The sequence below is a fragment of the Homo sapiens genome, chromosome 10, assembly GCF_000001405.40.
Source record: "Homo sapiens chromosome 10, GRCh38.p14 Primary Assembly".
Taxonomy (NCBI): domain Eukaryota; kingdom Metazoa; phylum Chordata; class Mammalia; order Primates; family Hominidae; genus Homo; species Homo sapiens.
Window position 1 is genome coordinate 101,788,156 of NC_000010.11, and position 24,404 is coordinate 101,812,559.

The following is a 24,404-nucleotide window of genomic DNA, read 5'->3' on the forward strand; positions in this document are numbered from 1 at the left end:
GGTTGGGTCTAGTAGCTCACGCCTGTAATCCTAGCACTTTAGGAGGCTGAGGCAGGCAGACTGCCTGAGCTCAGGAGTTTGTGACCAGCCTGGGCAACAAAGTAAAACCCTGTCTCTACTAAAAACATAAAAAATTAGCCAGTCATGGCGGCGTGCGCCTGTAGTCCCAGCAACTCGGGAAGCTGAGGCAGGAGAATTGCTTGAACCCGGGAGGCAGAGGTTGCAGTAGGCTGAGATCCTGCCACCGCACTCCAGCCTGGGCGGGGAAAAAAAAAAAAAAAAAAAAAAGTTTTCTGGCCAGGCGTGGTGGCTCACTCACACTTGTAATCCCAGAACTTTGGGAGGCCGAGACAGGTGAATCACAAGGTCAGGAGTTTGAGACCAGCCTGGCCAACATCGTGAAACCCCGTATCTAGTAAAAATACAAAAATTGGCTGGGCCTAGTGGTGGGCGCCTGTAATCCCGACTACTCGGGAGGCTGAGGCAGGAGAATCACTTGAACCTGGGAGGCGGAGGTTGCAGTGAGCCGAGATCGCACCATTGCACTCCACCCCAGGCGACAGAGGGAAACTCCGTCTCAAAAAAAAAAAAAAAAATTTTGTCTAAATGCTATGTGGTATTGGATCCTGGAACAGGAAAAGGACATTAGCAGAAAAAACTGGTGAATAAAGTTTGGTGTCTGATTAATAATATACCCATGTTGGTTACTTAGACTTCACCAATACAGAAAATGGATAAGGAGTATACAGAAACTCTGTTTTAACTCTGCAACTTTTCTGTAAATCTAAAATCATTTAAAATACATAAAATATTTTAAATTAACGTATTCCTTACATGAAAATGTGCAAATTTTATGTTATTTATATTTTACCACAATTTTTAAAAAGTTCTTATGCTGAAAAGTGTCAGATGTGGAACAGCAATACATCAGCAGCTCAATCACCAGCATAGTGTCAGTGTAATCCCAAGTAAGCGAGGCAACACCAAACCAGCCTCTTGTTACACAGCCATGTGACTAAGGGCAGAAGGTAAAATATAGAAATAAACTATGAAGAAAATGAGGCCAGGCGCGGTGGCTCACGCCTATAATCCTAGCACTTTGGGAGGCTGAGGAGGGCGGATCACCTGAGGTCGGGAGTTTGAGACCAGCCTGACCAACATGGAGAAACCCCGTCTCTATTAAAAATATAAAATTATCCGGGCGTGGTGGCACATGCCTGTCATCTCAACTACTCGAGAGGCTGAAGCAGGAGAACTGCTTGAGCCTGAGAGGTGGAGGTTGCGGTGAGCCAAGATTGCGTCACTGCACTCCAGCCTGGGCAACAAGAGCAAGACTCTGTCTCAAAAAAATAAATAAATAAATAAAAAGACTATGAATACTTTGGTGTGGTGGAGAGGGGTAGAGAATTTTAGAAAAGGAAAAGAGAAACAACATAGAAGAAAAGAAAAAAGTATCACAAGTAGGGGTCCAAATATCTTATTTACTGTGCATAAAAACTATCCTCAAGAAGGAACTATCTAAAAAATGCATATACTGGCCAGGCACAGTGGCTCGTGCTTGTAATCCTAGCAGTATGGGAGGCCGAGGCAGGCGGACTGCTTGAGCTCAGGACTTTGAGACCAGCCTGGGCAACACGGCGAAACCCCATCTCTACAAAAAAAATACAAAAAAGTTAGCTGATGCGTAGTGGCTTGCACCTGTAGTCCCAGCTACTTGCAGGGCTGATGCAAGAGGATAACTTGAGCCTGGGAGGTCAAGGCTGCAGTGAGCCATGTTTGTGCTATTGCATTCCTGGGTGACAAGGTGAGACACTGTCTCAAAACAACAACAACATATACTGATGTATAAACCAAAATAATCACGTAATGTGTTGGCCAACATGGGGCATAAAACTTTTTTGGAGATGAAAAATGTATTTAAGTTGGGACAGGACAGACTTATTAAGAAGTGCTCCTATCACAAAGTAGACTCTCAAGAGCTCTTATTTTTAAATCACAATGTAGAATGCATTAGTCAGAAGGCAAGTTATTAACCTTCTGAGAAACCACCAAATAGATTTAAATTACTTAAATTGTCCTGAGTACTCAACAAAACGACCATAATATCTTGTTTTTTTTTTTTTTTTTTTTTTTTTGAGACAGAGTTTCACTCTGCTGCCCCGGCTGGAGTGCAGTGGCGCCATCTCAGCTCACTGCAACCTCCCGCTCCTGGGTTCAAGCAATTCTCCTGCCTCAGCCTCCTGAGTAGCTGGCATTACAGGCACCCGCCACCACACCCAGCTAATTTTTTTTTGTATTTTTAGTAGAGATGGAGTTTCACCACGTTGGCCGGGCTGGTCTTGAACTCCTGACTTCAGGTGATACACCCGCCTTGGCCTCCCAAAGTGCTGGGATTACAGGCACGAGCCACTGTGCCTGACCAAGACCATAACATCTTTAAGTATGAAACTTTAAAACAGAGGAAAAAAATGTTCTTTGTCTTTATTGTGTTTTCACCTGAGGAAATATTACAATAGTACTCCCAAATAAAAAACTGTCCCAATATTGGGGAAACAGTGAAAAATGTCATGCTAAGAATAAGCCATAAGAATTCTTTCTGCAAGAAAATTAATTTAGAAAGCACTAAGATTTTATGATGTATCTATGTACTTTTCCATTTTAGTAAGTACTTTAATAAAAAATAAAAATAAATAAATAAAAAAGACCATTACCATAGTATAATTCTTAACCTTTGTATTACCTCAGCCTCAGAGAGTTCCTTGTCACCATTTGGCTTGGTATACTTCTCCTGCATGAAGGGGATCCAGGAAATTTTACATTTTTTAATAAAGGGGGTCACATCTACAGTGCCCAAGGCATAACCACATATGCCATCTTCATCTTCTAGGACAAAGCAGTAATCCAGGCTGAGGGAAAGCAGCCCTCCTACTAACCTGCTCAGAAGGAAAGAGGCCACAGTAAACTTTTCAGTTGCTAATATAAAATTCAGACTTCAGTGATCCAAGACCCACTGTACTTGCATGAACTTACGGAACCTACATTTGGTGTAAGAAACTAGAAATGCACACATATTCAGATTTTACTAAAGCCAAAGTGGGATTTAAAATAAATAAATATATTTCCAGTCATCACCTCCCCTCAACCTGATAAGCCTCACTATGAAAGGTCTACTCTCAAATCCAAATACTTATCACATACTTGTCTCCAATAAGATCAGGCTGACTTTGAAAGGGTAAACCCACTCCATCGTCATACATTTCTCTGCAAATCTTGTACACGGATGCCTGAAAATATAATCTAGTTAAGCAACACATCAAGAAAAATGGCAGCAGAATCTAACAATATAACTCACAAGTCAGTCTGGGGAGGGAGTAACAAAATGGCCTGTCAGAAACATCTATCAGAAATATCACCTCTTCTTTGTAAAATAAAGATTTATTCATTGAGTCAGATTTGTAAAACCAGCAAAAAACAGCAAGGTTTTAGGAATACTGAGAATTGGCTTTTGCAGAGGATGGTTTTTTTGTTTTTTGAGACAAAGTCTTGCTGTCACCAGGCTGGAGTGCAGTGGTGCAATCTCGGCTCACTGCAGCCTCCACCTCCTGGGTTCAAGTGATTCTCCTGCCTCAGCCTCCCAATTCGCTGGGATTACAGGCATACGCCACCATACTCATCTAATTTTTTTTTTTTTTTGAGACGGAGTCTCTGTCACCTAGACTGGAGTGCAATGGCACGATCTTGGCTCACTGCAACCTCCGCCTCTCAGGCTCAAGTAATTCTCCGGCCTCAGCCTCCAGAGTAGCTGGGATTACAGGCACCCGCCACCACGCCCAGCTAATTTAGTATTATTTTTTATTATTTATTATTTTTTTTTTTTTTTGAGACGGAGTCTCGCTCTGTCGCCCCAGGCTGGAGTGCAGTGGCATGATCTCGGCTTACTGCAAGCTCTGCCTCCCGGGTTCAAGCCATTGTCCGGCCTCAGCCTCCCGAGTAGCTGGGACTATAGGCACCCACCACCGCACCCAGCTAATTTTTTTTGTATTTTTAGTAGAGACAAGGTTTCACCATGGTCTCGATCTCCTGACCTCGTGATCCGCCTGTCTCGGCCTCCCAAAGTGCTGGGATTACAGGCATGAGCCACCAAGCCCGGCCTATTTGTATTTTTAATAGAGAAAGGGTTTCACCATGTTGCCTAGGCTGGTCTTGAACTCCTGACCTCAGGTGATTTGCCCACCTCGGCCTCCCAAAGTACTGGGATTACAGACGTGAGCCACCGCGCCTGGCCCTGTTACTGTCTTTAAACAGTCTTGCTTTTTTCTTTAGCTGATTGTCAACAGCCTGTAGATACTTCACAATTGAAAGAAAATTACAGAACACCAATATATTAGAGATAATTAGTCTAAGGACAACACATCATTTAGACACATTAACTATTTTGTAACTCCAACTCTGAATACATTTCATCTGACTTTCTCAAGGGAGAAATTAAAGAACTTGGCACAAGATGTTAAAAGTCTAAACTCCTTAAATTTCTCAAGATACACTGAATGTTTTAATGAACTTTCTCCATCTAAAGTTTGCAGTTTTAAGACAGAAGGATTCCTTTAACCAGTGAGTTAAAAGGTTAAGTTTTAAGTGTGCACCATACCCATACACCAAGTTGGTAGGTAGAGAGACAATTACCTCATCCTTAGGAAAATAAGGTCTGATAGTATAAACTTTGGAGGTAGGAGTCAGTGGAGGTGGCTGAAAAAAGAGATCATTTGCCCCATCAATTGGCAGCAAACGCTGTGGGAAGAAAAAAAAGGAGATGGATTAGTTTGGGGAAGGTATCCATTTTTTTAAATGGGTGTGCACTGCAGATTACCAACTTATATTAACTGGCTACTGCAGGCAGACCTAAAGAAGAGGGGTGTACTATGCTTTACTAATAGAAATACCTCTTTGCTGGGGGAGGGGAGTGCTTCTGAATAGAAATTACCCACTCTGAGTTACAGCTTTAGTGGCATATTAATGGGGATTTAAATTTACAGTAAAAACAAAAACAAAAACAAAAACAAACCTATTCCAATTATGACAAATCTATTTTTTTTTAAAACCTATCTTAGATAGACCATCTCCCTACGATAAGATGGCAGAACAGAATGTCAGGAGGAGAGGTTTGGTCTGAAGAGGGTTATCTGTCCAGGAGACGCTTTATCCCCAAAGCAATGCGCTTCAGTTTGCTGTGCGCAGCAGAGCACCTGTTGGGGGGAGAAAAGTAGAGCACCTAGAAAGTCCATGAACAAATTCCAGCAGCAAAAAAACTTCCTATTTTGTTCATATTTTCAGCAATGGACAATTCTTTCAAGCACATTATATTTATAAAATAATTGGATAAATATCCAAAAGCTCTTTCACCATTTATTGGCATAATTACTATCTTTTGTTCATGGAGCTTCCACTGGCAGACAAGCATGCGCGCATTGTGCATTGCGGGCGCAGATTAAAATGCTGTGCGACCTGCAAAGAAACAATGTGAAGTGTATACCTAGAGCCGCTGCGCTTCGCAGGCGCGGGGGGGATTGGCAGCATCTCCTTCAGAAATTACTGTGAAAGAGGAGGAAAATTTGATTTAAAAATCCAGCTATGTAACTAAATTGAATTTGGGACTAGAAAGCCTTCGGCAGACCAATCCTTCCAGCCATCTGATGCGCAACATAAGGTTTCTCATAAAACAAAGAAAATGTCAATTCAGTTGTGAATTCATATTGATACCTGGAACTCTCCTGCTAGACCACCTCTAAAGGCCCAGGGTTCTTGGTCTCCAATTAAGAATTGTGCTGAAGAATGACTACGACACCCTGTTGAGATCAGATCCAAGCGGAGAACGTTACGAGAAAGGGGATTTCCTGGGGTCTCAAATGTCCAACAAACTGACAAACACTTCGTGGAAATAACTCTCTAACAATAATCAGGGTTTCAGGGCAAGGCTATGATAATAATTATTATTTTTTAAAATGTTAACGGCATTTCAATACTAATGTTCCTTCCTCCAATTAATGAATAATCAGTATTATCAGTTCTACTCTTTAATTACTGGAAGGAAAGTAAGTCCCAAGTTTGTCTGAGTCAACTTTATATATTCCCTAGATATTATACAAATCAAGCTAGCTGCTTGCTCTGTCATAAAATTATAGTAACTATTAACTAAAATGACTGATAATTAGACACTTTATTATCACAGCCCATGAAGGAATTCAACCTGTCTGAAGTCACATTTTACATTTTGAGGAAGGGTACAGGTAAGGGAAAAGGGCGGGGGAGAAGGATTAATCTTGTCAGAAAACTAAGGTCAGTAGAATAAAATACAAGAAATTAAGTTGACAAAATGAAACATAATGAGAAAAATTTTTTTGGACAAAAACAATTCAAAATCAGACTTGGCTAATAATACCAGTCTGACAGATTCTGAGAACTAAGGAGAGCCAATTGATGTTATTTTGCCCAGAGCTAAATATACTTTTCTTAAAAGTATGACAGTATCTGGTTCCTCTGACCAGCCATTATAATAATCTTTGCAATACACTGAACATACACATGGAATACAGAAGTCTCTATTTAAGGTCACCAGTTAACTAACTTAATAGGCAATAACGCTAGCTAACAGTAAGACATAAAGGCAAATGTTTGGAGGCCAAATCAAAATCACTTGCCTAGTCTTCTGACAAGATAAAGCAGCGCAATATAGTTCTTTTCCATTGGAAGACAGCATTCTACCTCCTGTTCAAGTTAACAGTCTCATCAGTACAAATATAGTGTGCTAGTCAGACAGTCCCAAAGCAAACCAATTTTTTGTTAACAATTCAGGCCCATTAAGAGTTTGTATCTGGTTTGTCATTTTTCAAGGGTAGGGGTACTTTTAAAAAACATAAAATGTAGTATTTGTAAAATAAATATGAAACAGGGTCAAAATTTAGACTATACGAGAACCTGTCCCATTCCGTAACTCAGTGTAATTTACACTGCAGGAAAAAAACTATACCTCTCAAACTTTAAGATCAGCCAATTTCCCCTACCCCCTACTTTGAGACTACAACATAACTAGCACTTCCAACTATTACAATAAAAAGCTGCATGTACGAAGAGCTGTGTAAATGAAAACATGGTTAATGCCTCAGTCGCTGCGCAAACGTGACTTCAGTTCATGTCTACCGCCCTTAAATCTACCTGAGCTACCTCACAGATAGAACCTTGCAATTTAAACTAATTAATCATGACGCGCTGTGAACATCTGCCGCTGTCCATCCAATAGTAGTAGACACTTGTGCTGAGGATTCTCCCATCTGTACACAATGGGGAAGAAGATAATAGAAGTCATTAGTAATCAAAAGTACTGCATAGCCACATTGTTTAAAGGACTGAATGCCAGCTGGACTGGAGAGAGGAGGAAAAGGAAGGGTTCCAATCAGTAAACCCCCTGAAATTACTACAGAACCAAGAAAATACTCTCCCTGTCGTGAGCTTTTGTAAAGCTATGTGGATATGAAGATAATTATTTAAAACTTCTAAGATGTTACAAGGGGTGTCCAATCTTTTGGCTTCCCTGGGCCACACTGGAAGAACTGTCTTGGGCCACACATAAAATACACTAATGATAGTTGATGAGCTTAAAAAAAATAAAAAATAAAAAAACTCACAATGTTTTAAGAAAGTTTACAAACTTGTGTTGAGCCACAGGCTGGACAAGCTTGCTGTAAGAGCTTGAGATTGTGTAAGAGGTATCTATATAATTTTGGAAAGCTACCACCATAAATGCTCAGTGCAGAGATAAACCCTGAGAAGAGAAAGAAACAATACTGTGTATCATTAAGAATTTAACTTTTAATAATTCTTAAATTAAAAACTGAATATCAAATGTTTTCTGTAATACATTTCAAGCTCAATAATCCAGATTTCAGGTTCAAAATTCCTAAGGGCCTTAGAAACTTAAGTTTAAATCCCTATAAGAATGAATTATAAGAACCTGAGCAGAAACCTGGAAGGCAAATGTTGTCATCCAGCAACCAATATTGAGGTCTCTTGAGCCTAAGGGTAGATGTCTCCCATGTACAGGAGCTATACAGAGCCTCCCCCCAGCCCCACAAGATGAAGTCTCGCTCTGTCACCCAGGCTGGAGTGCAGTGACACAATCTCGGCTCACTGCAACCTCCACCTCCTGGGTTCAAGTGATTCTTCTGCCTCAGCCTCCCAAGCAGCTGGGACTACAAGCACATGCCACCACGCCCAGCTAATTTTTGTATTTTTAGTAGAAATGGGGTTTCACCATATTGGCCAGGCTGGTCTCAAACTCCTGACCTTGTGGTCTGCCCGCCTAGGCCTCCCTAAGTGCTGGGACTACAGGTTTGAGCCGCTGCGCACGGTCAGTATTTCCTTTATTTATTTATTTATTTTGAGATGGAGTCTCCCTCTATCGCCCAGGCTGGAGTGCAATGGTGTGATCTCAGCTCACTGCAACCTCTGCCTCCTGAGTTCAAGCAATTCTCCTGCCTCAGCCTCTCAAGTAGCTGGGATTACAGGCATGCGCCACCACGCCTGGCTAATTTTTGTATTTTTTTAGTAGAGATAGGGTTTCACCATGCTGGTCTCATGCTGGTTTTCACCAGGCTGGTCTCGAACTCCTGATCTCAAGTGATCCACCCACCTCAGCCACCAAGAGCGCTGGGATTACAGGGGTGAGCAACCGCGCCCGAAGCTATACAGAGCCTTTTAACATGAGGTCAAAATACTCTCTTCTACCTGTTATTACAGCAATCCAAAAAAAGTTATCTATTTTCAAATTAACAATCTGAGACTCTACTTTTAGTAGCTAATTAGTTGTATCACAGGGAAACTTTTTTTTTTTTTTTTTAAATATTTAAGAGCTCAAAGGTATACAGGCAGAAAGTGGAAAATCTCACTACTACTTTTTATTCTAAGCTCACGGTGTTTCAGATATCTATTTCACAACCAAGACCATGAAACCCATCATAGTATTTGTGACTACTATGAAAACTATGACATGTCAGTCAGCCTTGCTGCCTGCTGTGTGCTGTATATAAGTCCATTACATATTCCTTATAGCTGGATTGAAAACCTGAAAATGAAATGAAGTCCCTAGAGAAACTTGGCCATGCTGGTGCTTTTTACCAAGTTTGACAATTTAAAAAAAAAAAATCAGTGTTCAAAGGAGACATACAAAAGTCCATTTAATGTAGCAGAGATGTTTAGGGGATTACAATTTCTATCCCCTGGTAAAACCAATACTTGGTAGAAGGATAAAGAAAAAGCCACGTGAAATAATACTGAATAGCACCAGAATAGCCTTACACTAAAGCTCGCATGCGCACAGGGCTGGGAGGATGGCTTCCTCTTGCCAGGCCCTTTAGGTCATTTCAGCAATTGTTCTGTTAAACATAGCATTAATGTTATCAAGACACAGCAAGCAGCAGAAAGCTTGTGGAGTCACATTTCATAGTGTCTCATCTCCAAATCAGATAAAAGTGGTATACAGGGTTCCATCCAGAAAGCATTCAGTCAGAGCAAGTTAAAGTCAGTACTTTCTAACATACTTTTAAGATACTTATGCTGAATTAGCCCAAGGGAGAAAAATTAATGTGCTTGATGTATTTACTAAGACTTGCATCTCAAGTCTTCAATAATGCCTATTTTTGAAAGAAACCTAGGCAACGAATTGAAGAGACTTGGAAATGTGCCAATTCCCTAAATGTTTTTCTCCCTGTGGGATAATTTTTTTTAAAGGGACAATATATTTGAGGAGAAGAGATTATTCCTGGTGCACCTACCTAACCACTGTACAAAAGACTTCACCATAGACATTATACTCTTGATATCCCAAACATAGGAGTACATGTCATAAAGAATTGTCCTGTTGGCACAATTGGAGAGCCGAGTGAACATTCCCATCACTAGTCCACACATCTCTTCAAACTTGGCTGCTCGTGACCGCCATTCTTCAATCTATTGAAGATCAATAAAAAGACTCAAAAAACTGTAAGCTTAACAAAATAATCTGAGACACAGTTACACATTAAGCTGCTTATGTTGTCAGGTACTGGCAATTTATCTTAACCATTAAAGTATCATTTTGTGTCTCCCCAAACTGACAAATATTCCTAAAATAATGACCTTTCCTCATTCTTAACTAGAAGGGCAAACTATGAAACTGAAGGTACCAGATTTAGTAGAGTCCACATCCACTGTAAAGAACATACTTTTTTTTTTTTTTTTTTTTTGAGACAGTTTCCCTCTCGTCACCCAGGCTGGAGTACAATGGCACGATCTCAGCTCACTGCAAACTCCGCCTCCCGGGTTCTTCAAGCGATTCTCCTGCCTCAGCCTCCTGAGTAGCTGGGATTACAGGTGCCCGTCACCATGCCCGGCTAATTTTTGTATTTTTAGTACAGATGGGGTTTCACCATGTTGGCCAGGCTGATCTCAAACTCCTGACCTCAGGTGATCTGCCCGCCTCTGCCTCCCAAAGTTCTGGGACTACAGGCATGAGCCATCATAACCGGCCTAAAGAACATATTCTAAAACATGGTCAATTTTCTGTCAGTTACAGTGTACTCATTTAAGAACCTTTTCCACATTACCAGTATGGGGAACCACCCAGGCTTCAGCAGCAGGTACATTAAACATACTCACTTTTTCAGAGTCTTTTCCTTTGCAATTGACACTGACAACACTACTATTTGCTCGAAGCCATTGAAATTCCCGTAACATCTGTGCTCCTTTGGGTCCATGCTCGTAAGGAAGGTAGAATAGATCAGCAAGTAACTGCAAATCCTCCAGGGTCACTGGTTCCGCAGTGTACAAAGGCTTTTCATTTGGACCTGGCACAAACTGCTCCTTGTTTGTCTGTTCATCAGTTTGCATGGGGGCAATGTCACTAATACAATCTTCTTGCATGGACATCTCTGGGGATTTTGATTCAGCTATGCTCTCTTTATCAGTGTCCATTGGTTTCAATTCCTCTGCCATTTTCGCTTCAACAATTTCACTCAGTATTTGATTGTCATTCTTGTGGTCCGTTTCTTCTTGTTTTTCCACCACCATGTCCATGGGTTCTTCATCAGGCTGTTTCTTTTCTTCTTCCTTGGTCAGAGTAGTAGGCTCACCACTCAAGGCTGCTCCCTGGCTCATAATGGGCTCCTGATAAACTGTTGTTACTACGGTTGTGGCATTTAAAGAGGGTGCTGCAACTAAAGGAGTCCCATCAACTACACTTGCTTTAGCTCCACTGTGTGCAACTTGCCTACCTACAAAAATAAATAAATGTATAAATAAAATGGTCACACAGATAATCAGAATTAGAGATAGAACACATTAGATTCAGAAAGATGCTTTATCATATTTGTTAAGTGGAACCTCAATTTTAGATCCAAATTAATTTGACCTCTAAGAAAAATGAGATTTCTCTATACTACTAGGGATGCAGGAATGGAAGGGCGTTGGGAGGTAAACATGCCAACATCTACTATTACATTCTCTTTTGAAAATTTGTGTCTAAAAACCCTTAAATTACTTCAAAAAATATGTTTTTAAGAGAAATTAGCATTCCATCAAAATAAAAGCTAATATTTAAGACCAAAAGTAAGATTTAAAAATCCTTATTCTCTAGATCCCCCAATTTCATTTAATTTCACTTTGCTTAGTGGGCATAAGGTAAGGCACATGACAGTGTTCTTTTTTTTGAGACAGAGTCTCGCTCTGTCACCCAGGCTGGAGTACAGTGGCTCAATCTTGGCTCACTGCAACCTCTGCCTCCCAGGTTGAGGCGACTGTCCTGCCTCAGCCTCCCAAGTAGGTGGGACGACAGGCGCATGCCACCACGCCCGGCTAATCTTTGTATTTTTAGTAGGGACAAGGTTTCACTATGTTGGCCAGGCTGGTCTCGAACTCCTGACCTCAGGTGATCCGCCTGCCTCGGCCTCCCAAAGTGCTGAGATTACAGGTGTGAGCCACCACACCCGGGAGACAGTGTTCTTTACTTTGTGACTCAACTATGTGATCTAACCCCCTTAACAAAGAATGGCCAAACTCACTGCTGTATTGATGAGGCACACCAAACTCTTGCAACCATTCTGTTAATGCTAGCTTTAGAGCCATCTGTGGACTATAGAGTACATCAGTTTCAATATCTTCATCACTGCCTTCATTTTCTAATTTTATCTGGATGGACACAGTACTATCTTCACTGTCAGCTGCAAAAAATAAAATAAAAAAGCACAAAAATAGTTTTGATTACAAAAGCCTTCTGACAAGTGAGAAGAATAAATGCAACTAGTTTTCACAGTATAACCACAGAAACAAAGAACAGAATGAGAACAAACCTTAAACATAAAAATTCAAATAAAAGCAAGACCCTTCACCAAACCACTTCATATAGGATAGTAACCTAAACGTAATGTTAAATGTAAAATCTCAATTGAAATAAGAAATATAAATTTTAGTATCAGTGGAAGAGTCAATCTTAACCGTCTACTGAGTACTAATTGTTGGGAAGTCAAGGTCAAAAGTACCATGCTTTTCGTATGAAGAAAACATTGCATAGCCTTCAGGGCCTTGTAACTTCTTTTTTTTTTTTTTTTTTTTTGAGATGGAGTCTCACCCCATCACCCAGGCTGGAGTGCAGTGGCAGGATCTTGGCTCACTACAACCTCCGCCTCACAGGTTCAAGCAATTCTCCCACCTGAGCCTCCCCAGTAGCTGGGACTACAGGCGCATGCCACCATGCCCAGCTAATTTTTCTATTATTCGTGAAGATGGGGTTTCACCATGTTGGCCAGACTGGTCTCGAACTCGACCTTGTGATCTGCCCACCTGGGCCTCCCAAAGTGCTGAGATTACAAGCGTGAGCCACTACAACCGACTGTAACTTCATTAATAAAGGCGCTGAGGGAAAAAGAAGAGGCCAGGCATGGTGGCTCATGCCTGTAATCTCAGCACTTTGGGAGGCTGAGGCGGGCAAATCACCTGAGGTCTGCAGTTTGAGACTAGCCTGGCCAACATGGTAAAACCCCATCTCTACTAAAAATACAAAAAATTAGCCAGACGTGGTGGCAGGCACCTGTAATCCCAGCTACTCGGGAGGCTGAGGCAGGAGAACTGCTTGAACCCAGGTGTCAAAGGTTGCAGTGAGCTGAGATCGGGCCATTGCACTCCAGCCTGAGCAACAAGAGCAAGACTCCGTCTCAGAAAAAAAAAAAAAAAAGAGATAATCGACAGAGACCCACAAATTAGCACACATAAGGCAACAAAGCTCTGAGCCAGGATAGTGGTAGAGAAAATTAAGTCTGAATTTTTTGATTTTGTACTTAAAAACTCTCTATTCTTAGCTTTCCTTAATATTTCCTACGTATGTCCCAGGTTTGGATAGTGTCTGCCACCCTTAGTATGTTCCTTGCTGTGCCTTAAAAGATGTAGGAGTTAAGTGCCATGTACGCTGACAGCATTTAAATTATATTCCCAATTTGTTTTTTATTGAGGGGAGGAGGATGACAATGACTGAGCCAAACAAAAGGGAGACATTAATTCAATAAACAATTCAAAGCAGAGGTATGGAATTGAGAAACAGATGACAACTATTAATATTACTACATACTATCATGACACTTCAGTAGCCAAAATGGGCCAAAATTCAGGGAACTTCAAAAGTTCAGTGTTCAGGCTGGGCACAGTGGCTCACGCCTGTAATCCCAGAACTCTGGGAGGCAGAGGCAGGCAGATCACCAGGTCAGGAGTTCGAGACCAGCCTGACCAACATGGTGAAACCCTGTCTCTACTAAAACTATAAAAATCAGCCAGATGGGGTGGTGTGCGCCAGTAATCCCAGCTACTCAGGAGGCTGAGGCCAGAGACTCGCTTGAACCAGGGAGGCAGAGGTTGCAATGAGCCAAGATCGCGCCACTGCACTCCAGCCTGGGCAACAGAGCGAGGCTCTGTCTCAAAGAAAAAAAAAAATTTTCAGTGTTCAGTGTTTTTAACCTCCAGCCCACAAACCTTTAACGCCCAGCAAACTCTCCTCATACTTTGATCCAGCTTAAAAGTCTGTGAAATCTCTTAGCAAAAATAATCACTCTCTCCCGTGTTCACACAGCACTTTATAAATTAAACTATTACAACACTTATCACACTATAGTACAATTGCCTATAAGCCTTACCCAACACTAGACTGTTTCTCAAAAGTAGGAATGGCTGGGCGCGATGGCTCACGCCTGTAATCCCAGCACTTTGGGAAGCCCAGGAGGGCGGATCACCTGAGGTCAGGAGTTCAAGACCAGCCTGACATGGAGAAACCCCGTCTCTACTAAAAATACAAAATTAGCCAGGCATGGTGGCGCATGCCTGTAATCCCAGCTACTCGGGAGGCTGAGACAGGAGAATCACTTGAACCTGGGAGGCGGAGGTTGCAGGGAGCTGAGATTGCGCCACTGCACTCCAGCCTGGGCAACAAGAGCAAGACTCCATCTCAAAAAGAAAAAAAAAAAACTACTTTATTCTTTGCCCCCTCAGTGCCCATGAACATGCATCTGCCCCATGACAGATTATTTAAATGTAAATAATTATCAAGCACCTTACTTAGAACTCTATTAATTAGAGATTTTTCATAAATTAAAAATTAGTAAGCCAATGTCTAAAATAAGACTGTATTCCATTCGGCCAGGCAGGGTGGCTCATGCCTGTAATCCCAGCACTCTGGGAGGCCGAGGCAGGTGGATCACCTAAGGTCAGGAGTTCGAGACCAGTCTGGCCAAGATGGTGAAACCCTGTCTCTACTTTAAAAAAAAAAAAAAAAAAAAAAAAAAGCCGGGTGTGCCTGCAATCCCAGCTACTCGGGAGGCTGAGGCTGGAGAATCGCTTGAACCTGGGAAGCAGAGGTTGCAGCGAGCTGAGATTGCGCCACTGCACTCCAGCCTGGGCGATGGAGCAAAACTCCATCTCAAAAAAAAAAAAAAAGAGTATGTTCCATAAAAGATAAATGTAAGCTGAATCTAAATGATCTAAGTGACTCAAGAGTATCTAGTTATCTAAAATATCCTTTTCAATAAAATTGCCTGAAAATACATTTTATCCGAATGATTCTAGAGATAATGGAAACACTTAAAAGACTGTCTCCTCTAGTACTCAGACTTCAAAGACTGAACCATATTTTATTTTTATTTATTTCATAGGATTTTCATCTGTTGTCCAGGCTGGAGTGCATTTCCTGGGATTATAAGCGAGCCACCACGCTGCTTCTGAATCATACTAAAAAAAAAAAAAACAAAAAAAAAAAAACTAAGGCAAAGAGGTTAAGTGACTTGTCCAAAGACACTCAACCTTTCTTCTATCATATACATCTTCATCAACAGAATGAAACAACATACCATAATAAAACCACTTGGTTTTGTTTCCTCCTTAGTAAAACAAAATACGTTTTTAAAAAAATAAATAAAACTGTTTAAGTTGTGATGACAAAGGAATGCATACTTTCCACTGGCTCTAGTTAACCCCAGCTCTCCTCCCAAGGTGAAAGATCAAGTACAGGCTACTTACTCATCACTACATCTTTTCTCACTCCATTCATGTTTGATTTGTACCAGGTGGCAAGGGTGTGGATAGCAACGTAGTTGGCTTCAAATTCACAATTTGGATTAGTGAGGACTCCTTTTAACCGTGGGATGAGTTCTGTGGATCTTCCTTTGTACGGGCCCAGAAACAGTCTCTTCTGATCATAATCATTAGCATGAATGTTATCCCAGATTACTGGAGCTCTCTTAATAATCTTAGAAACCTCTTCGATGGACTCTACTGGAATTTCTTTAGAAACAACTTTGGGACCTAGAAATAACGACAACCGTTCGTTAAAAGAATCATGGTTCTTGGCTAGACGCATTGGCTCATAACTGTAATCCCAGCACTCTGGGAGGCAGAGGTGGGCAGATCATTTGAGCCCAGGAGTTCGGACCAGCCTGGGCAACACAGCGAGACCCTATCTTTTTATTTTAAATTAAAAAATATATTTAAAAAAAAGAATCATGGTTCTTTAAAATATACTGCATATATAACTTTTTATTGTTTTCCTTACGTGTACTTTTTTTTTTTTTTTTTTGAGACAGAGTCTCGCTGTGTCGCCCAGGCTGGAGTACAGTGGTGTGATCTCGGCTCACTGTAAGCTCCGCCTCCTGGATTCACACCATTCTCCTGCTTCAGCCTCCTGAGTAGCTGGGACTACAGGCGCCCTCCACCACGCCTGGCTAATTTTTTGTATTTTTTAGTAGAGATGGGGTTTCACTGTGTTAGCCAGGATGGTCTCGATCTCCTCACCCTGTGATCCGCCTGCCTCGGCCTCCCAAAGTGCTGGGATTACAGGCGTGAGCCACTGCGCCTGGCCCCTTACATGTACATTTTATAACAACGTTTCTTTTTCTGAGACAGGGTCTCCTCTGTTACCCAGGCTGAAGTGCAATGGAGTAATCATGGCTCACTGCAGCCTTGAGCTCCTGAGCTCAAGCAATCCTCTCACCTCAGCCTCCCAAGTAGCTGGGACTACAGGTGTGCCCCACCATGTCACAGTAATTTAAAATTTTTTTGTACAGATAAGGGCTTGCTATGTTGCCCAGGCTAATCTTAAACTCCTGGCCTCAAGCGATCCTCCTACCTCAACTCAAGCCTCCCACAGCACTGGGATTACAGGCACGAACCAATGCACCCAGCCACAATTTTTCTTTTGAAAACACAACATGTCTTTTACTGAGCTTTATTTTTTTCGTTTTATAAAATAGAAGAGTTTCCTAACGCTGCTTAAGGATGGGATCAATACCTTTTAGCCCAATTCCCTATAAATCTTTATTATTTATTAACTGAATTTTTTTTGAGACAGGGTCTCATTCTGTTGCTCAGGCTGGAGTGCAGTGGCATGATCACAGCTCACTGCAGCCTCTACCTCCCGGGCTCAAGTGATCCTTCCACCTCAGCCCCCTAAGTAGCTGGGACTACAGGTGTGCACCAGCCCACCTGGCTAAGTTTTTTATTTTTTCTACAGTCTCTCTATGTTGTCTAAGCTGGTCTTGAACTCCTGGGGGCTTCCACCTCAGGCTCCCCACTCAGGCTCCCCAACCATGATAGATGTTTTTTCATATTAAGAGAATATGTAAACTTTGTAAAAGAAAGCGTATTTTAACAAGTTCTCTGGGCCAGGTGCAGTGGGTCACATGTGTAATCCCAGCACTTTGGGAGGCCGAAGTGGGCAGATCACCTGAGGTCGGGAGTTTGAGACCAGCCTGGCTAACATGGAGAAACCCCGTCTCTACTAGAAATACAAAAATTAGCTGGGTGTGGTGGCGTGTGCCTGTAATCCCAGCTACTTGGGAGGCTGAGTCAGGAGAATTGCTTGAACCCGGGAGGCAGAGTTTGCAGGGAGCTGAGATTGTGCCACTGCACTCCAGCCTGGGCAACAAGAGCAATGCTCTGTCTCAAAAAAAAAAAAAAAAAAGGCCAGGCGTGGTGGCTCACGCCTGTAATCCCAGCACTTTGGGAGGCCAAGGCGGGTGGATCACGAGGTCAGGAGATCGAGACCATCCTGGCTAACATGGTGAAACCCTGTCTCTACTAAAAATACAAAAAATTAGCCAGGCGTGGTGGCGGGTGCCTGTAGTCCCAGCTACTCGGGAGGCTGAGGCAGGAGAATGGTGTGAACCTGGGAGGCGGAGCGTGCAGTGAGCCGAGATCATGCCACTGGACTCCATCCTGGGCGACAGAGTGAGACTCCGTCTCAAAAAAAAAAGTATTCAATTAACAAGAACAAGCAATTTCTGCAAGTCCTACTTAATTCAACTTTGACTGTATAAATCTTAAAAGACTTACCTGTCCAAAGCACTTCAATTCCAGGTAGAAGCTTTTCACCCACAGTCCTTAAATATGGAGACTGAGACACATTTGGATAACAGAAAGTGCCACAGTATTCTAAATGTAGGGAGAAAAGTAAAAAAGTCAGAATTAAAATGCTCATGGGTTTTCTCTTTGTTTGTTTGTTTTCTTTGAGACGGAGTCTCACTCTTGATGCCCAGGCTAGAGTGCAGTGGCACGATCTCGGCTCACTGCAACCTCTGCCTCCTGGGCTCAAGCAATTCTCCTGCCTCAGCCTCCCAAGCAGCTGGGACTACAGGCGCACGCCGCCACGCCCGGCTAATTTTTTTTTGTATTTTAGTAGAGATGGGGTTTCACCATGCTGCCCAGGTTGGTCGCAAACTCCTGAGCTCAGGCAATCCGCCCGCCTTGGCCTCCCAAAAGGCCCATGGGTTTTTGAATGTGGAAAAAATGTCTGCCAATTCTAAATTATTTTCATCTAAATGATAAAAGGCCTCCTACAAGGAACTAAAGTGGGCAGTTCATTTAAGAAATTCATAAAATCTGGTATTTTTCCTCCAACAGTAGTACAGATCAATTCTTACGATACTACAGTTACTAGAAATACAAGTTTACTAAAAAAACAAGAACTGCAGCATTTTCTACAGAATTCTGAATTGCCTACTTTTCTCAGTTACAATTAAACGCCAAACAGAATGAATTGATAATATCATAATAGAACTAATACAAGAATATGCCAATGGCAGCTGGGCACAGTGGCTCACACCTGCAATCCCAGCATTTTGGGAGGCTGAAGCGGGTGGATCACTTGAGCCCAAGAGTTCGACACTAGCCTGGGCAATATGGCGAAACCCCGTCTCTACCAAAAATATAAAAATTAGCCAGTTTTATAGCCCGGTCTCTAAATAAATAATACAAACTTAAAAGTAAAATTTAAAAAAAATTTTTTTAAAGGCATATACCAATGGCTATTAGTACTCAACTGCAACTTAAACTGTAACTTGCAGCTAATTAATTCCCAGTATAATCTTAAAACTTCTGGGTACTAATGTAGTACTCAACTAAAATAAGGTTCTCGGCTCACAATACACACAAAGAAAGTTAAATAATTTAATCTAAAATTCTTCCTGAACAAGGAAGTGTGGGGAAAACTTCCTGTAAGTTGAATTTTGAGAAGCAACTAAGAGACTAAAATATTTTCAATGAAAGAAACCAGAGGGGCAAAAAGAAAGGAAAACGGGAAAAACTGTTAAGCTTTCTATGCTGACTACTTGAAATAAGAGCCCAGATGGGAGTGGGAGGAGTGCAAAAAGGGACAGATATGCATGGGCAGAAAAAGGGGACAAGTAGGAGGAAATGAGAAGTGACTAAGGTAAAAGCAATGTAATTTGGTTTTTCTCCAGTTTTCATTTCAATACTATCCCTCTTTTAATATTGACAATGTAATGTTCATATACTTCCAGTACTTAAAAATACATAAAAATCTTTTGCCTAGTCAGTTGTCATTTATTAGTTCCTAAAATTTCTCCAATTTAGGATCTTGAAAAATGTCTTCTAAAAAAAGATTCCTACTTTTACACACCAAAGGAGGAGGGAAGTGGAGAGAGAATGGGGCCCATGGTCCTTTATAAGTTATATATTCCAAGAAGACTAGTTAAATGTAAAGCCATTATATACAATACCTGTGGGACAGAAGAGGAAAGTTTCTGGCTCTCCTAGGTACTGATAGATTTCATTTGTGATGGAGACTTGGGCATGAGCAAAAGAACTGAATACCTCTTTGTCTGCTGCACACATATTATGGTCTATATCATCAAAAAGCAAAGCAAATGATCTGCACCCAAACTGAGAAACCTAGGAGAAAAAAAAAAAAAAGAATCAAGAGTAAAAAAATTAAGAATTCCAAACATTACAGCGTTAACAGTTATACTTAAAATCCAGTATTTTCCTTACTAGAATGTTCAAAGACAGATTTATTGTTTTTACATTTTCAATTAAAAAATCGTAAGTTAAACAGTTTTGGGACCCATTTCTCATTTGGGTTTGAATGCACTACAGGCTGAGTATTCCTTATCTGAAATGCTTGGGACCAAAAATGTTTTGGATTTTCATTTTTGTTTTTTCCTGGATTTTGGAATATCTGTATTATATTCAGCATCCCTAACCTGAAAATCCAAAATCTGAAATGCTCCAATGAGCATTTCCTTTGAATTTTATGGAGCTCAAAGAGTTTCATATTTTGGAACATTTCAGATTTCTGAATTAGGGATACTCAACTTATATGACAATATGATCCAACAAAGTGGCCTAGCCTCCTAGTCCTCATGGGCTGCTGCTGATTGTAGAAGACCCAACAAAGTCAGAAAAATACAGAAACATGAGTAAGTAACCTTAAGACATGAAAAAGCCAGGCTGTGTCCTAGTCCCAAAAGGCACACTGATCCCTTTGCAGATAAACCTAACCAGGTATGAATCAGAAAGAATAGAATTTTATCAAATAGTAAAATAACTTCATTCATGAAAATTTCAACTGCCTTAAATTTTTTACCAGACATTTTAATGCCACCCATATAAATCTTTGCCTAAAGAAATAAGACATGTATATAGAAAAACCAGCAAACTAAAATAACAGAAAAATGGGGCCGGGCGCAGTGGCTCACACTTGTAATCCCAGCACTTTGGGAGGCCGAGGCGGGCAAACCATGAGGTTAGGAGTTCGAGACCAGCCTGGCAAACATGGTGAAACCCCATCTCTACTAAAAATACAAAAAAATTAGCCAGGTGTGGTAGCACATGCCTGTAATCCCCGTTACTCAGGAGGCTGAGGCCAGAGAATTGCTTGAACCCAGGAGGTAGAGGTTGCAATGAGCTGAGATCGCGCCACTGCACTCCAGCCTGGGCGACAGAGCAAGACTCAGTTTCAAAAAAAAAAAGGAAAATGGAAGCCCCCTACATTGGACCAAAGGAAGTCTGCAGCTTTTACATTAAGCAGACTTTACACTCAATTAGGTTCACCTAGTCTGTTTTTCTTCTCATCTTGGGAAACTAGCCATTTCCAGACATCTCTTCGTCCATATAATTGAAGAAACTAATGTCTAATAGGTAAAACCCTGTTTCTGTAATCTCAGGTGTAAATTCAAGCCAAGCAGCCTAGGGTATATATAATTTCTCAAAATGTGGTTCTTGACCACCAATCACCTAGATTCCCGGTCCCCACCTTATCCATTTGGGAAATAAAGTCCAGCAGTCAGCATTCTTCCAAGCTTCACTTCTAATCATTCTTTTAAGGCAGTTCTTATGCAAACTGAAATTTGAGAAGAACTAGTACCTCCAGTAAAGCTCTTTTTACTTAATTTGGAAAATATTCCTCTATCAGAAGGATTCAAGGCTGGGTGCACTGGCGCACGACTGTAATCCCGGCACTCTGGGAGGCTGAAGTGGGTGAATCACCTAAAGTCAGGAGTTCGAGACCAGCCTGGCCAACGTGGCAAAACCCTGTCTCTACTAAAAATATAAAAATTAGCCAGGCATGGTGGTGTGCCTGTAACAGCTACTCAGGAGGCTGAGGCATGAGAATCGCTTGAACTTGGGAGGTGGAGGTTGCAGTGAGCCGAGATTGGGCCACTGCACTCCAGGCAACAGGGCAAGACTCTGTCTCAAAAAAAAAAAAAAAGAAAAAAAAAGCATTCAAAGTAAAAAAAATTCTTATAGAAACAAAGAAATAAAAAACCAGGCATGGTGACTCACACCTGTAATCCCAGCACTTTGGGAAGATCATGAGGTGAGCAGTTCGAGACCAGCCTGGCTGGCATGGTGAAGGCCCTGTCTCTACTAAAAATACAAAAATTAGCCAGGCATGATGGCACGCACCTATAGTCCCAGCTACTCGGGAAGCTGAGGCAGGAGAATCACTTGAACCCGGGAGGCGGAGGAGGTTGCAGTGAGCCGAGATTGTGCCACTGCACTCCAGTCTGGGCGACAGAGCAAGACTCTGTCTCAAAAAACAAAACAAACAAACAAAAAAAGAAAACAAAGAAATAGGAATTTGATTTCCTTTTAACATCGTAAAAGCAACTGAGTAAACTTCTAGTTTCAAGTACATAGTCAGGAAAAATGAATAAAAAGTAAGGAGTTACCTGGTCCAATTTACGTTTCAATGTGGATACTTCCTTGGGGTTAGAAAAAGTGATATCCAATCCAGGTGAGATCGCATAGATGAACTCTATCTCATATTCTCGTGCAGCAGAGATGAGAGTCATAAGTTGCTCTAAAGAACAGAGTCTATGTTTTTAGAAAGCAGAACAGAAAACTAAAAGAACCTTCACTGAAGGTTTAACTGAAGAGGTTATTTCTTCTAACTTACAAGAAAGGAAAAGATCCTCACATTTTACAAATTGTCATGTCCAACTTAACAACAGGCCATACAAAATGGTACAAGCCTGAAGTGATTTAATGTCACAGTAAGGGAAAAAGAATAGTTTTCACACCTTTGAAATCTGAACCAACAGAAAATAAGAGGCCCTTCTTTTTCACTTCCAAATAGTTTCTTATCCTTTTGGGGAAACAGGCTAAAATCAATAAACATTTTCCTCCCTTTCATTGCCACTTCTCAAAAACACTGAATTGTCAATTCTCTTACTGAACTTAAGCCATTTCTATTTCCTGCAGCATTTGAAAGGCATAAAATGCAGCCGCTGCTTTTTTATTTTGAGAGCCTTGCTCTGTTGCCCAAGGCTGGAGTGCAGTGGCACGATCCTGACTCACTGCAACCTCCACCTCCTGAGTAGGTGGGATTACAGGCATACCCGGCTAATTTTTGTTTAGTAGAGATGAGGGTTTTGCCATATTGCCCAGGCTGGTCTCGAACTCCTGGCCTCAAGTGATCCGCCTGCCTTAGCCTCTTACAGTGTTGGGATTGCAGGCATGAGCCATGGTACTGGATCTTGCTTTTTTTTTTTGTTTTGCCATCTCTGAACAGCTGGAATTCCTAACTAAATAAACCTACACATAACTACTTTATAATATGAAAGAAAGAAAATGCTTTCTTAAGAATCAGGGTAGGCCAGGCCCAATGGCTCATGCCTGTAACCCCAGGACTTTGGGAGGCCAGGCAGGAGGACTGCCTGAGGTCAGGAGTTTGAGACCAGCCTGGTCAACATTGTGAAACCCCATCTCTACTAAAAATACAAAAATTAGCCAGGCGTGGTGGCGCATACTTGTAATCCCAACTACTAGGGAGGCTGAGGCAGGAGAATTGCTTGAACCCTGGAGGCAGAGGTTGCAGTGAGCCAAGATCGCACCACTGCACCCCAGTCTGGACGACACAGCAAGACTCCATCTCAAAAAATGAAAAAAAATGAAAAAAAAAAAAAAAAAAAAAAAAAATGAATCACACCTGTAATCCCAGCACTTTGAGAGGCCACGGCAAGTTGACTGCTTGAGTTCAGGAGTTTGAGACCAGCACAGGCAACATGGCAAACCCCTCTCTCTACAAAATATACAAAAATTAGCTGGGTGTGGTGACCCGCGCTTGTAGTCCCAGCTACTTGGGGGACTGAGGCGGGAGGATTGCTTGAGCCGGGGAGATCAAAATTGCAGTGAGTCACTGCACTCCAGCCTGGGTAACAAAGTGACAAACGCTGTCTCCAAAAAAAGAAAAAGAAAAAGAACCAGAGTTAAGTCATGGCCTTAACAATCTTGACCTGTTTCTATCTATGGGAAAAACATTAATTATAGATTTTAACCTTTTAAAATTATCAATTGACAATTTTCCTAAATCAACTTAACTACTACTAGTATATACTATAAGACATATTTTTGAATAATTTTCAGTAGTATCTCAAGATAGTCATTTTTACTCTATTTTGATTATTGATCACATTAAGTTTCATTACCAGCACCACCAGAAAGTAATTAAGTTGAAGGCACACTTAAATAGAGTAGTAAACCACAACACTAGATGGAGATGGGGTAAGCTGTAATTGCTTCTTTGTAATTCAAGAAAACTTTCAGCCTTCTGTGCCTTGGCTGGGCTCTGTAACCAAATATCTTGTTAGCTATATGCGTATACCATTTAATTTCAAGTACAAAAATGTTTCACCATTTACAAGTTCCCAAAGAAAAGCACCTCTCTAATTTGGCGGTTCAATGCTATACTACTTTTTATCAATTTTATGTAACCAACTCAACGTTAAGTATACCCATAGCAGGCCGGCCGGGCACAGGAGCTCAAGCCTGTAATCCCAGCACTTTGGGAGGCTGAGGCAGCAGAATCTCTTGAACTCGGGAGGGCGAGGTTTGCAGTTAGCCGAGATCGCACCACTGCACTCCAGCCTGGGGGACAGAGCAAGACTCTGTCTCAAAAAACAAAACAAAACAAAACAAAACCCAAAGACAGCCTATTAATGGCTTCCCACTTTCCTGGACTAGGGTTTAAGGACCAGTAACTGCTGACAAGGCCAAGCCATACTAGAGCCTGAAGCAAAAGGAACAATCAGTAGTGCTGATCCTGT

General features: G+C 41.5%; 1 protein-coding gene across 8 annotated transcripts in view; it reads right to left on the reverse strand.

Annotated features, from left to right (window-relative positions):
• The window catches only part of OGA (O-GlcNAcase), a 33,995-nt gene that overhangs the window by 3,706 nt on the left and 5,885 nt on the right, over positions 1-24,404 (reverse strand). For 2 of the 8 annotated variants that reach the window (NM_012215.5, XM_047424514.1), the window contains exons 4-14: positions 22,029-22,159; positions 19,575-19,746; positions 17,890-17,988; positions 15,580-15,864; positions 12,087-12,245; positions 10,687-11,300; positions 9,825-9,999; positions 5,758-5,843; positions 4,684-4,788; positions 3,199-3,284; positions 2,741-2,933 (exon numbers count right to left, since the gene is read on the reverse strand). In NM_012215.5, the coding sequence (NP_036347.1) occupies positions 2,741-2,933; positions 3,199-3,284; positions 4,684-4,788; positions 5,758-5,843; positions 9,825-9,999; positions 10,687-11,300; positions 12,087-12,245; positions 15,580-15,864; positions 17,890-17,988; positions 19,575-19,746; positions 22,029-22,159 (2,105 nt within the window). Of the gene's footprint in view, positions 1-2,740; positions 2,934-3,198; positions 3,285-4,683; positions 4,789-5,757; positions 7,817-9,824; positions 10,000-10,686; positions 11,301-12,086; positions 12,246-15,579; positions 15,865-17,889; positions 17,989-19,574; positions 19,747-22,028; positions 22,160-24,092; positions 24,152-24,404 lie in introns of those variants that run through there. The other 6 variants (XM_047424516.1, NM_001142434.2, XM_047424515.1 and 3 more) reach the window with 6 other exon arrangements.